General features: G+C 38.7%; 1 protein-coding gene across 24 annotated transcripts in view; it reads right to left on the bottom strand.

Annotated features, from left to right (window-relative positions):
- Nucleotides 1-13,282, bottom strand: part of CHN2 (chimerin 2) — a 367,738-nt gene that overhangs the window by 14,081 nt on the left and 340,375 nt on the right. For 20 of the 24 annotated variants that reach the window (XM_011515105.3, XM_011515106.3, NM_001398427.1 and 17 more), the window contains 2 exons: nucleotides 4,212-4,296; nucleotides 208-381 (listed from right to left, as the gene is read on the bottom strand). The exons of 1 other annotated variant lie outside the window; for it this stretch is intronic. In XM_011515105.3, coding sequence (XP_011513407.2) covers nucleotides 208-381; nucleotides 4,212-4,296 — 259 coding nt within the window. The remainder of the gene's footprint in view (nucleotides 1-207; nucleotides 382-4,211; nucleotides 4,297-13,282) is intronic. 3 more of the 24 variants (NM_001293076.2, NM_001293078.2, NR_120524.2) reach the window with 2 other exon arrangements.

Below are 13,282 nucleotides of genomic sequence, written 5' to 3'. Positions count from 1 at the left end.
ATGCATGGTTTATATATACAATGGAAATTGATATAGCTGGTTGGATTGAGTCTACCTGTGAGAGAGAGAGAGTGTGTGTGTGCGCACACATGCGTAGGTCATTTTCCCAACAAGAGTAGTAGAGCAACTCTGTTTCCTTGACAACAGTAAAAACAAACAATAAAAATAAAATCACTATACTACTATAATAGGAAGTATTTTCCAAACCTCTTGCTTCAATTTCCCGAATGCATATGTCTACCACCATGGGTCTCTGAGTGTTGTGAGCCTTCACAAGTGTTGTGAGGTCACAACAGTACACTTTCTTGATCCTCTTGAGATCAGGTTGGCAGTCATTGGGAACGTGCTTGGAACACTGTTTGTGTACGTTCAATCCACAGTCTGTAAACAAAGAAGCCACATTAGCCTAGCCCAGCCCTTTTGTCAAAGCACAACACAAATTATATGTTGCCAAAAATAAAAATATCACCACCCAAGGGTTTGACATATTTCTCTGGAACATCTATCCCGTTTCTAGGACTCTCTACAGGATAAATACAAGTATCATCTCTAATCACTAAACCCTTATATGATTCCATTTTTCTCGTTAAGCCTTCTCTGTCGCTGGACCTTAAGAACAGAACATCTGAGACAGCTTAGGTAATTGATCAGGTTTTTTTGTATATGTTTTCCTGTTTCAGGCTGGAACCCTTTGGGTCCACAAGTAGGTTTTCGGGTTTGGATTCCCAGACAGTCCTGGCTTATAAAGGGCACCTAGGGTTTGTTCCAGACTCTTTCCTTTAAGCTCTTGATGCTCCTTGTGTGGGAGGCAGAGTTACTCTTTCTGCAGGACTCTCTAATCTTTGCTTTGAGAAGCCCACGACCATTGGTATCCTCTTCCCCTTTCCTGGAAGGTTGCCCCATAGTTTCCAATCCCTTCCTCCTTGGGCAGTTTGGGTAGGCCGCTTTCCTTTCTACATGCCTTATTTTGACACCTGTGAGTGGAAATAATGCCTAACTATATACACCAGTAGGAGTACTTGAGAGTTTATAACAATACCATGTAATGTAATGTGATGATTATTTATAAAGTTCATATGAAAATCCAAAGCTGAAAAGGGTGCTTTTAAAGTTCAATGAAAACACGAAGAGCCTGTTAGCAGTCAATATCCACTGACGGAATTTCTCTGATGATAAAAAGGCACAGTTGGCCGGGCGTGGTGGCTCACGCCTGTAATCCCAGCACTTTGGGAGGCCGAGGCAGGTGGGCGGATTGCCTGAGGCCAGGAGTTTGAGACCAGTCAACATGGTGAAACCCTGTCTCTACTAAAAATACAAAATTAGCTGGGCATGGTGGTGGACCCCTGTAATCCCAGCTACTCAGGAGGCTGAGGCAGGAGAATCACTTGAACCCAGGAGGCAGAGGTTGCAGTAAGCTGAGATTGCGCCACCGCACTCCAGCCTGGTGACAGAGGGAGACTCTGTCTCCAAAAAAAAAAAAAAAAAAAAAGGCAGCATAGTCTACATTCTGCTACATTCTGAAAGGGAAAAATTCAATGCTGAAGTTGTTCAAAGTTGATGTGCTCTCTACTCAAAGTATCTTCTAATACTGTTTTCCTAGGCACAAAGAATAACACACACGTGCACACATGATAAGGAATATTGTAGTCATCTGCTTTATAAAATAGCACTTAAGCACACCAAGAACTTGAGAGGATCTAAACTTTTGTAAAATCAGTGGTAATTTCTAAGTGATTTTCATGTAATTTTTATTGGCTGAGTTCTCTGTCTACCTCCTTTCAAAATAAAAAAAACAAAAACAGTTCTAATTAATCTTTATCAACATGAGAAATTCAACAAAGCTCAAGTGACTTCAATAATATTTTGATACATCTATCTAGTGAATGTAAATTTTGGCTAACTGCGCTAAATAGAGTTGGCTGGGTTTCCTGTTGAATCCTCTTCTATAGAAGATCATAATAGCACCTACCTCCTGGCATTAGCCATGAGGCTCAAATAAAAGTTAATAAAGTGTTTAGCATAGTGTCTGAAATATAGTTAAGTATTGTATACATGTTAGGTCAAATAAAATAAATAGCAAATATGGTGATAAAAAAATGTAAGTATATCTGCCCAGCAATTCTGAAGTGATTTCATTAGGAATTCTTAGTATGTCTTACAAACTTCATTTAAATTTTTTTGTTAAATTCTGATAAATTTATCATTTTAACCATTTTTAAGTGTATGGTTTGGTGGCATTAAGTACATTCACACTGTTATGCAACCACTACCACCGGCCATCTCCAGAACTTTTTTCATCTTCCAAAGCTGAAACTATACCCATTAAACAATATAACTCCCCATCTACCCATCCCCTGTAACTACCATTCAACTTTCTACCTCTTGGAATTGCTGCCCTAGGTACCACATATAATAGGAATCATCCATGTTCATTTAAGACCTAAAGCAACAATGTGTTTATGTAGAGTTTAATACTGATATTTTATTAAAATTAAGATGTTCTATAACAAATGTAAAAATGCTCCATTTTTTACAAAGCAGTAGAAATCCATATTCTACAAATAAAGTCCAGTGCATTCTAAAAATACTTAAAAGATGTAATATATGGAAAGCTGAGAGGCAATGATGGTTCTTCCTAACCTTTCATGATCAGTTTTTAGCCTCCCTGCTGCTAAGAGGAAATATAAGGCCAAAAAGTAGCCATTGGAAAATACTAACAATATGGCCTCAGAAAATGTCTTATTTAAAAAAAAAAACAAAACCAGAAAAAAACCCCACAAAAACGCTTTTATCCCAGAGAAACTTGAAAAGTTGCTGTTCACAGCTAATATGAAGCCCAGAGTTTTGTTCTCATAATATTGACTTTGGACCAATTTCTTGCTGAAACTGGTTAATACCAGCAATTAGGGATATTTTTGATAGGTACAATAGGGACAGGCCAAATTAATGACCACTGAGTAATTCAGATATTCTACCCCTTTGCTCAGTGGCTGAGCTGGGAGATACGTTGTGGCTCCTGGCAAGTCAGTCTTTAGTGTTAAACAGAGTTTCTGAATATTTATGGAGAAGCTGCTTCTGAGCTATGTTGACCACCCCTTAAACATAGACCTGCAATGGGGGAGGTGGAACTACTTGAACCATCCAGGTATCAACACCGGTGATTGGTGTATTTACACAATGGAAGCTAGAAGCCTCTTCCAGGCAGAGAGGAGGACTTAGGGTTTACGGGATGCTGTGAGCCAAAATGGGAAAGATCACCTTAATTAGTGTCATTACCTTATTGTATTCTAAATGCTCCTGAGATTTTTAAAAATCATATCCTAGCAAGGAAGAAGTCAGTCAGGGTGTTGGTAGAAACCTGATCAATATCAGAGGAGGCTGGTCTTGCTCCCAGCCACAAGTGTTTGCCAGAAAAACCATGGCAACATGAATTAGGAAACCCAGTTACACATTAATTTGTATCATTTATCATTGTGTTAGATGTACCTTAATAAGATGTATGCTGTTAGCAATAGGTGTATACCTCCAATTCCAGATGGAAAATCACCCAGGCTTTCAAACTACTTTGAAAATATGTGATATCAAATCAAGGTGCATGGTTTCACTGCTAATCTGATGACAATGAGATACTGAGCATGAACTCTGGAATCTGGCTCCCATTGAATCAATATTCTATTCCTTACTGCGTAGCCAAGGGCAAATAACAAGCCTCTGTGTCTTTTTTTTTTTTTAATGGAGGATAATTGCATCTCCCCCAAGGTCTGTTGGTGAGGCTAATGACATGATAAATAGAGATTAACTGGTGCCTGGTATGTGGTAAATATTCACCAGCACTATTACTATTTTTATGTCTTACCTTTTGTAGCAAGATGGGGTAGGACAAAGTATGGCTTTTCTAGCTATGCAGTTCCATTGGAATTGATTTTTTTTTTCTTTTACGGACTACTGCCTATTGTAAGAGGCAGGTAGGTGTTTAAGGAAATGTACTTTTTGTTTTTTTTTTTCTTTTCTTGCATAAACATGATATATTCTTTTTCATTCCTGCAAACACTTGAAATAGTTTCCCCATTAAGCACAGACAGGCCTTGAACCCTGCAGAAGGCTAGACTTTTGAGCTAATCTGAGCACATTTCCCAGCTCTGGAGAGACATCCTCCAGCTCAGCACAGTGGCATTTCATATAATTGGAAAAGAAGAAAGTTCTGTGTCTACCTGAGCACCGGACCCCTTGGGCGATGAGCCCCCACATGAAATTGGCACAATATTCACACCAGTGTGGGCCTCGGAACGTGTGGACCTGTGATCCAAAAAGAAGAAAAATGTCAGAAAGCTCAGAGTCATTTAAAGGCAGGTAGCCTCAGACATGTCAATGAAGATCAGCAGGAGCGATCCCCCACTGGGCTTTTCCTTCCAGTAAAGCAGTTGCAAACAGATCCTGAGAAAACAGAGATGTGCTTTGATCTTTGAAAATCCTTCATCGATCCACCATGCCCCAGGACAGAGTCAGAAAGGAACGTGGAGAAACAGATTATAGGCCATGCCATCAGCTAAGGAGTAAGACTGTGACCACCCACAACAAGGCACTGTGTGGACAAACCCAAGATAGCCCAAGCTGGTCGCTATAACCTGCATTTAGCTCAGCAAGTTCTGGAAGGCAGAACTCAATTACTGTGTCCTTTTGACTGAAGTTTTCCCATCTCTACACTATCCAGGCAGGTATAAATAAGACATGATTATGGGATAATTAAAAGGTTCCAAGTCTTTGAGCTACTTCCAAAAAAGGCATTTTAAAAAGTAAAGGAGTTGGCTAAACATGGAGGCAACCAATAAGGCCTGTGGAATTGCTTTCCCCAGAGATAGTTTCCATATTCAGTAGGACTTGGTGTGGCCTTCAGGTAAGTAAGCTGAAAATCTTTCCTGGTTGACCAAAGTGCTGGTCTCATTGATTGATGCTCCCAGCCAGTTGTTAAATATTCTGAATATCACAAAGTAAGGATGGTCTTATCTCTGATTATTTTGAGGCATAGGTCCTCCTGTATTAAATTATGATTTAAAATGAAAACAAAACAAAGCAAAAATACTGGCATCAAAGAGCTTTAAGAAGGAAATGTGGCCATGGTCAATCTAAAATGACCATAGGCAGTCTATCGGGGCCATACAAATGTGCACAAAAATGTCCCGAATTTTTACAAAGTTAAAATGTTATAAAGCATTATAGAAGGCCTTTCAAAGTCATAAACCTCTATTAACAAAAGAAATGTAGACAATTTTTTTTTTTTTTTTTTTTTTTTTTTTTTTACAAACTGCTTTTATTTAACAAAAAAGCAGGATGATGAGTGTGGTCACAATTTGGAAAGGTGTTCATCCGAGTTCTGCTTAAGAAAAAAAGAGCCTCAGTTTGAGTTCTTTATTCATACATGTTAGTAATTGGGTGTACATAAAGAGGCAAACAAAATGGATCTGGATCTCTTCTAAGGAAACCAATGAGTAAAAGCAGAGAAAGATGATAAGCTAGTTAATAAATAAAAAAGAGCAACTTATAACTCTGTAATAAAGCGAAGTTATAGTAGTCTTTCTGGTATTTCAGTTTATCATATGCAAACTGCCTATTATATAGTTCCTGCTTTGAAAATGATGCCAAAAATTTCTCAACATTTTTCTAGGGAATGACCCTAAGAAATGACAAAGCATTTTTTAACAGGAATGCAGAGAATTCATCCCAGAAGGACTTACAGGGCCAAATGTCATAATTCACTTAGAGGCCTACCAAGATTGAATGCAGTACTAAAAGAGTTCCTCAGTAAAGTATCCTATCTAAAGTTGGACATTTTCTAAATTCAGCAATCATACATTTCTTAATATTTTACTAGAAATGCTCTTAATTATGGCAGCAAAGTCAATTGTTAATCTGCTGTGAAGATCAATTAAATATAATAAAATAATATGTAAAATGCAACTCCAGAAAAAAAAAAGTATAAAAAGGGCTACAGAAGAAAAAAAGATGAGGCTGCTACTAGAGAGACCAAGTGGGGCCCAACCTTAACCAGAATGGTCAGGAAAGCCTCTTTTGGAAGGTGACCAGATGTAAAAGAAGAGCCAGTTCTCTTCCACAGGGAAAGAGAAAGGGACAGAGATCATTCCCAGCAGAAGGAATATATGGAGGCCTTGCGGGAGCAAAAGAACTTGGTGTGGTGAAGGAACTAGATGGCCAGGGTGGCCAGAACACCAAAAGTTGCGGGGAGAGGAATTGGAGTGAAGCTGAAGGTAGGATAGGAAAAGTTACACAGGGCCTTAAAGGCTTTATTCATGAGTGTGGATTTTGTTTCAATCTAAGTACAGTAGGAAGTTCTTGGAGGACTTCACATAGATTTTTTTAAAAGATTATTCTGACAACTGTGTTGAAAATGAATGAGAGGGTGTTAATAGTGGAATAGATATGAAAACTATGTTGTAGTCTAGTTGAACAATGACAGAGCCTAACACCTGGATGCTGGCAGTGGAGATGGAAAGTGGAAGAATTTGAGGTATATTTTGAAGACAGAATTTATAGGACCTGACAGTAGAAGTGTGGGCCTTTGAGGGAGACAGGAGTCAAGAATGACTCTGAGATTCTAGCTTAGGAACTAGGTAAATGATGATACCATTTGCTGAGATGGGAAAGACACTCTTCTGGGGAGAAAGTGAAGAATTCCATTTTAGATGGGTTAGGGTTAAATGCTGCTATGATATCCAAGTGTTAGTGTCAAGCAGGAACTCATAGTTTGAGAGGTCAGAGGAGGAGCAAAGACCAGAGGTATAAATTTCACCATCTATGATGAATAGATGATATTTAAAATTGTGTGAATGAACAAAAAGTATGGTCATGCATCACTTAATGATGGAGCTACATTCTGAGAAAAGCATCCTTGGGTGATTTCATCATTGAGGGGGATCATCATAGAGCGTACTTGCACAAACCTAGATGGTAGGGCCTACTACACATCTAGGGTATATGGTATAGCCTATTGCTCCTAGGCTACAGACCTCTACAGCATGTCACTTTACTAAATACTGTAGGCAACTGTAACATAACAGTAAGTATTTATGTACCTGAACATATCTAAACATAGAAAAGGTACAGTAAAAATACAGTATAAAGGATAAAAAATGGTACACTTACATAGGGAAGCTCCATTATAATCTTATGGGTTCACCATGATATATGTGGTTCATTCTTGACCTAAATATTGTTATATAGCACATGATTATATTAAAGGTAGGGAGCAGAAAACAAAAGAGAGCTCATCCCTGAGCACTCAGTGTTCAAACATTTAGAGAAAACCAACAAAGTGTTCCAGAAGCCAAGAGGTGAAGAATGTTTTAGGGAATGAATGGTCAATTATGTTGAATGCTGATAAGAGGTTCAATGAAATAAGTACTAAATATTGACTCAGATACATGGAAGTCATTAGCAACCTTAGCAACAGCAATCTCTTTGGATGGCTGAGGGTAGAAGTAAGACTCAACTGAACTGAAGAAGGTAAGGAAGTAGAGAAATATGTGGGTACCTCCTCTATCAGGAAGGCTGGCTATGATGTTCAACAGAGACAGAGGATAGCTCAAGGGAGATGTGGAGTCAAGGAAGGACTTTTTTAAAAGATGGGAAACACCAAGGCAAGTTGACTTGTTGATGAACTTGATACAATAGGTAAGAGACTGGAAATGCAGAAGAGAGAAAAGATAAGCAAAGGAGTGATGATCCTCAGAAGTTGAGAAATGATGGAGTTTAGGGTATCTGTGGAAGCAATATATATTTAAGGAGAAGAACAGTTGAGATCTTTCCAGAATTCGTAGTGAGACACAAAATATTCAGATTAAAAAAAAGCTAAATGAAACTCAAATCAGATAAATAAAAATAATCTGTATCTATGCCATTATACTGAAATTGCAGAATACCAAAAGACAAAGCAAAATCCTAAAACAACAACAACAACAAAAACCAAAACAGGTTATCTTTGAAAGGGGAGAAATAGGTAAAAATAGAGTTTTCTTCAGCAGGAAGACATGAATAGATTATTGAATAATTTCATCAAAGTGCTCTGACAAAAATACTGCCAACCTAACTTTTACACCCAGCTAATTATCATCTAAGAGTAAGGGTGAAATAAAGATATTTTCAGACAAATGTCAAGAGTTTCCAATCACAGATGATCACTTGAAGAAATACTAAAGGATATACTTCAGTGAGAAGCAAATTGAATCTAGGAGGAAGGATTTCCAGAAGCAGTGGTGAGCAAGAAAACTGGTAAGTGTGGGTCAATCTAATCATGCCCTATTTGCATACAACAATAACAAGATGACTAACTGTAGGGGACTTAAACATGGGGTAAAAAAATGACATGGAAGTTTGAAGGGGATGAAGAAGTCTAAAGTTCTCTTAATTTGGGAAATGTAAGAAGAGCTACTAATTAACTGAAGAATATTTGAAGTCAATTATGCATGTATTAAATTTTTGATAATTTAAAAAAGGGTGGGATGAAATCCATTAATCAAAAAGAATATATGGCTGGGTGTGGTAGCTCATGCCTGTAATCCCAGTGCTTTGGGAGGTCAAGGTAGGAGGATCACTTGAGGCCAGGTAGAGACCAGCCTGGGCAACATAGTGAGACTCCATCTCTAAAAAGAGTTTGAAATTTAGCTGGGCATAGTAGCACATGCCTGTAGTCCTAGCTACTCAGGAGACTGACATGGGAGGATGGCTTGAGCCCAGGTGTCCAGGGCTAAAATGAGCTATGATGGCGCCACTGTGCTCCAACCTGGACAACAGACTGAGATTGTCTCTCTCTCTCACACACACACAAATACATAAGGGAAAAAGAAATATAGGTTTAATTAAACCAATAAAAAGCAGGGAAGGAGAAAAAAGATGCAATAGAAAAGTACAGTGATTGTAGAAAAAATCCTTATACAACTCTAATCAGAATAAGTGGCTCTAATTCATCACAAAAAAAGATTTTTAGATAACATTTTAAAAATCCTTTCAAGAAACACAACTAAAACATAACATGAGAGAAATGTAAGAAAGAAAGCCATACCCAGCAAACTAGCCAATAGAAACCCAAAATAGAGCAAATATATATATTTGCATTATTAGTGATAGAGATAATAGAGATTTATTTTTACCAGAAGTATATAATTTTGAGCTTTTATATGACAATATGGTCTCAAAAATATAAAGCGAAATTGAAAGACTTACAAAGATAAATTGACAAATCCACAATCATAATGATTTTGACATCTTTCACAGAAACTAGTAGATCAAATAGCTAAAGTTGATCTATGAATACGAAAGGGATCTCATATCCAGCCATTCAAAGAACACACACACTTTTCAAAACCACTTGGAATATTCGTATCAATTGACCACAAATTAAGCTTCAACATATACAAAAAACTGATACCATACATACCATATTCTGAATATAATATAATAACATTTCAAATAGAGAGCCAAAGCCCAGTATGTTTGGTACAGTACATTTGGTACCAGTAGTATACACTGGAAAGACAAGAAACCAAATCACACATATATGGATACTTGGTATATCTCAGAAGTGGCATTACAAATTAATGGGGGAAGGATGTCAGACAGATGAATTATATCCTATTTTCATCTTATTTCCACCTTTCCAGCAACTCATTATTCACTCGTTTGTTTGATATTTACATGCTGATTGCCTGCTTTGAACTTGGCCCTGTACTAGTCCTTGGATATACAAAGTTGAAATAGATCAGAGGAATAAGAACTGCCTGCACTCAAGGATCTCATTATCTACAAGAATAAACAGGCAATTATGTGTCAGGTGATACAGCAGAACACGTAGGAGATCCTATGGTAGTATAATGGAGAGAATAATAAATTCTTCCTAGAAGTCTGCGGAAGGGGATATTGAACTGGGCTTTGAAGGATGGATAGGAATTCACCAGCCTGGGAAAGATTGAGCAGGTGGGGAAGTGATGGTGTTGACTGGAGAGCAGATGACTTGAGGAAGACATTTACAGAAGAGAAAACAGCATAACCAAAGGCCAATGAAGGTGGGCTTAGGTTTTGAAAGGCATTCTTTTCTGGCAAATGGTGTTTCAAAAAAAAAAAAAAAAGGAATGACATCACGTTGGTCTCTGAAACATCTTGAGTGGATGAAATAACCTCATCTTAAATATCCCTATATCTTGGGGTAAAAATGAAAATGCAATATTTAGAAATTAAGTGAGTGGCTACATGTTTACTACACGTGGACAGAATGCATATTGACAAAATATAAACTGGCCTATTGTTTCAGGAAAAACAGGATAGGCTAATCACAGATTTTCTAAAATTTCACTTTTTTTGCCAATATTTTTAAAAATAATTGAGCACATCAGGATTGCATTTTAATGCTTATTATCACTGTCCATATTTACCAACATCCTTTCCCAACAAGTATCCCTACTGCCTTTGATCTGTTCTGTCCAGCCAAATAAATGCATAGACGTCTCGAAGAGCAAGTAGCACCCAGTGTCCCCACACAGTCCCCAAAAAATAAAACAAAATGAGAATAGAGCAAGGATGTAAAGTGAAACATTATTTTAGGCCCATTGCCTACTTTCCTTTTTGGTGATGGGCCATTGTTTATTTTCACGACCGATATATTGTTCAATTTTCTTTTGGATCCACAAGGACAATCTCTAGACAGAAGGCTACGTGTAAATGCTGAGGGCATGCTCTGAGCCCATTTTATTTGGCTTCTACTTATTATGTCTACTCTTTCATTGAAATATACCGTATCTTAAAATTCACTGGTCGGCTTTTTCCATTTTCTGAAGTTCACTGATTTGCAAGAATATCTTTTTAGAGAAAGAACAGTTTGAAAACTTGAGGGCAGTAACTAAAATATTCTAGACAGGAAGAAAATACTCCAGACAGGAAGAATGTCTGTCCAAGACTATTACACTAGGCACGGTCTGCCTGGAATTCAAAAACCACACCAAACAAAAAAGATGATATTACACGAGATAAGGTATGTTTGACAAATGGCCCAGGAATGGCTACTTTGCAAAAACAAGAGCAAGAAGAGTCATCCAGAAAGATCTCAGGCATTTAGCAAGTATCTCTCAACACAGCTCTTTCTAAATGAACAGGATGTTATTTGTCTCATAGCTGCTGAATCTGGAAGGCAGTATTCTCTGGTGGTTTTATACCAGATATGTTTTGATGGGTCAATGTAGACACCACCCAGATGTATTAATATCAGCTCAGCCTGGGATCGAAACTGTAAGAAGGAAAAGTACCGTTTATGACATGCTGCAGTTGAGAATTTTTGCTTTTTCTTACCAGTATACATCATGATTTCTTAGCCTCGGCACTACTGATTAACATTTTGGGCTGGAAAATTCTTTGTTGTGGGGGTCTGCCTCGTACATTGTGGGATGTTTGGCAGCATCGCTGGCCTCCACCCACTAAATGCCAGTAGCACTCCCAGCTGGGACAAATCACAAATATCTGTAGGCATTGACAAATGTCCCCCAGGGGTCAGGGGGAGGTGGGGGGGTGAAGTTTCCTTTATTGAGAAGCAGTGGTATAGATGGAAACCTTATTGCCTCAATTTGTCATTTTATTATTCATATTAAAAATCAGAATTTTATTCTTTTGCTTTGAAAAGGAATCTTCGGGTCAGAGGCAGTTTGTTTGTTTGTTTGTTTGTTTAGCTACTTTATGTTCACAGAAGAGAGAGCTAAAGTCCCTTCCAGCTACATGTGGCTGGGTTCTGGAGGTCTAGTCTAGTGTTTGCCCAGGGTTAACTGAGAGGCTGGAGGGCAGGCAGCCTATCCTGCGTCACCCAGGTCAGCAGCACAGTCAAGGCTTCCAGATCTCTGCCAAGGACTTTTCCTATAATTTACTGTATTTCCCACAACCATGTGACATTCATCTCATATGAAAAATTAGGTTAAACTTTGAACTCTCCCCTTTTGCAAGACCAGATGAAGTCCTAACCTTGAAGTGACCCTTTTCAGATGTACGAAAACACAGCAGAGGTGAATCAATCTATGACAGACACTCTGAGTTCCCTCTGAAAGGCTGGCCAAGGAGATGGGGCAGGAGAGCTGAGTTTCTCAAACCGGGCACCACAGATCCCTGGACTTCTCATTAGCAGCTGCCCTAGTTTAAGATAGGATTGCATTTCTAAAATATTGATTGTCTCAAAGCTTTCTGGGAGTCTCCCCACTGCATAAAGTAAGATGTCCTCATGCTACTTAACTTTGATCAGGTTTATGAGCACATCGACACCCACATCCTTTTGACACTTCCCTGCTCAAAAACCTCGAGTGGCTCCCCATTGCCAGTAGTGAGGTTTCTCAGTCTCAGCACTACTGGCATTTAGGGCTGCACAACTCTTTGTTGTGGTGGCCTGTCCTGGACGTTTAGTAGCACACCTGGCCTCTACTGGATGCCTCTGGAGGAAGGAGAGGGAGAAGGAGAGACAGAGGAAGGAAGAGATAATGAAAGTAGGGAGGGAAAGGAAGGAGGGAGGGGGAGAGAAAGAGGGAGGGAGTTAGAAGGAGAAAAAGAAGAAAGGAGGGAGGGAAGGAGGAAGAGAGGGAGAAACTGGCTCCAGGTATACTCCCAGTTCCTGTTTCCACCCGTCCCTGAGTTCTGAGTATTCCCTGGAGGCTTTATGAGACCATCCTGTATAATAGTCTATTTAGCTTAAGATAGTTTCCAGGGGTTATATTACTTGAAAACAAGGACTTTGTAATCATTATAATGTGGAGCAGGCTGAATTAGGAGGTAGACAAAAACAACTCCTCTTCATAGCACTCTGGGAGCAGAAACAACATTTTTTTAATAAAGCCATATATTTCCAAACCTGTTTATTCCAGTCTCACTTTGAGTCCCTCATTTTATATTTAAGGTGATGAGTTTTGCCTTTGTTTTGAATTTTCTTTCCAGACTTGTTTCTGGCAAAACAGCCTTTTCTGATTATTAACTTAAAAAACAAAACAAAACAAACAAACAAAAAAAAAACAAAACAAGCCCCCAACCATTCTGAAGCCAATTTCTGCCTGTGTCAATTTGCAGGTGCAATATCCAGCCATCCCTGTTCTCCAGGCACAGAAGTAGCATCAGATGGACAGAAAAGGGTGATAGACACCTGGGAGCTTGATAAGAAGGCAAGGCAGACAAAATGCTGGGAATGACACGAAGGGCTGACACACTTTTATGAGGTCAAGGGGGAAGAGGAAGAGAGAGGGGCTTGCATGCGGGA

The sequence above is a fragment of the Homo sapiens genome, chromosome 7 (assembly GCF_000001405.40).
Source record: "Homo sapiens chromosome 7, GRCh38.p14 Primary Assembly".
Classification (NCBI taxonomy): domain Eukaryota; kingdom Metazoa; phylum Chordata; class Mammalia; order Primates; family Hominidae; genus Homo; species Homo sapiens.
The sequence above is the reverse complement of the archived record's forward strand: the minus strand, read 5'-3'. Positions and strand labels throughout refer to the sequence as shown.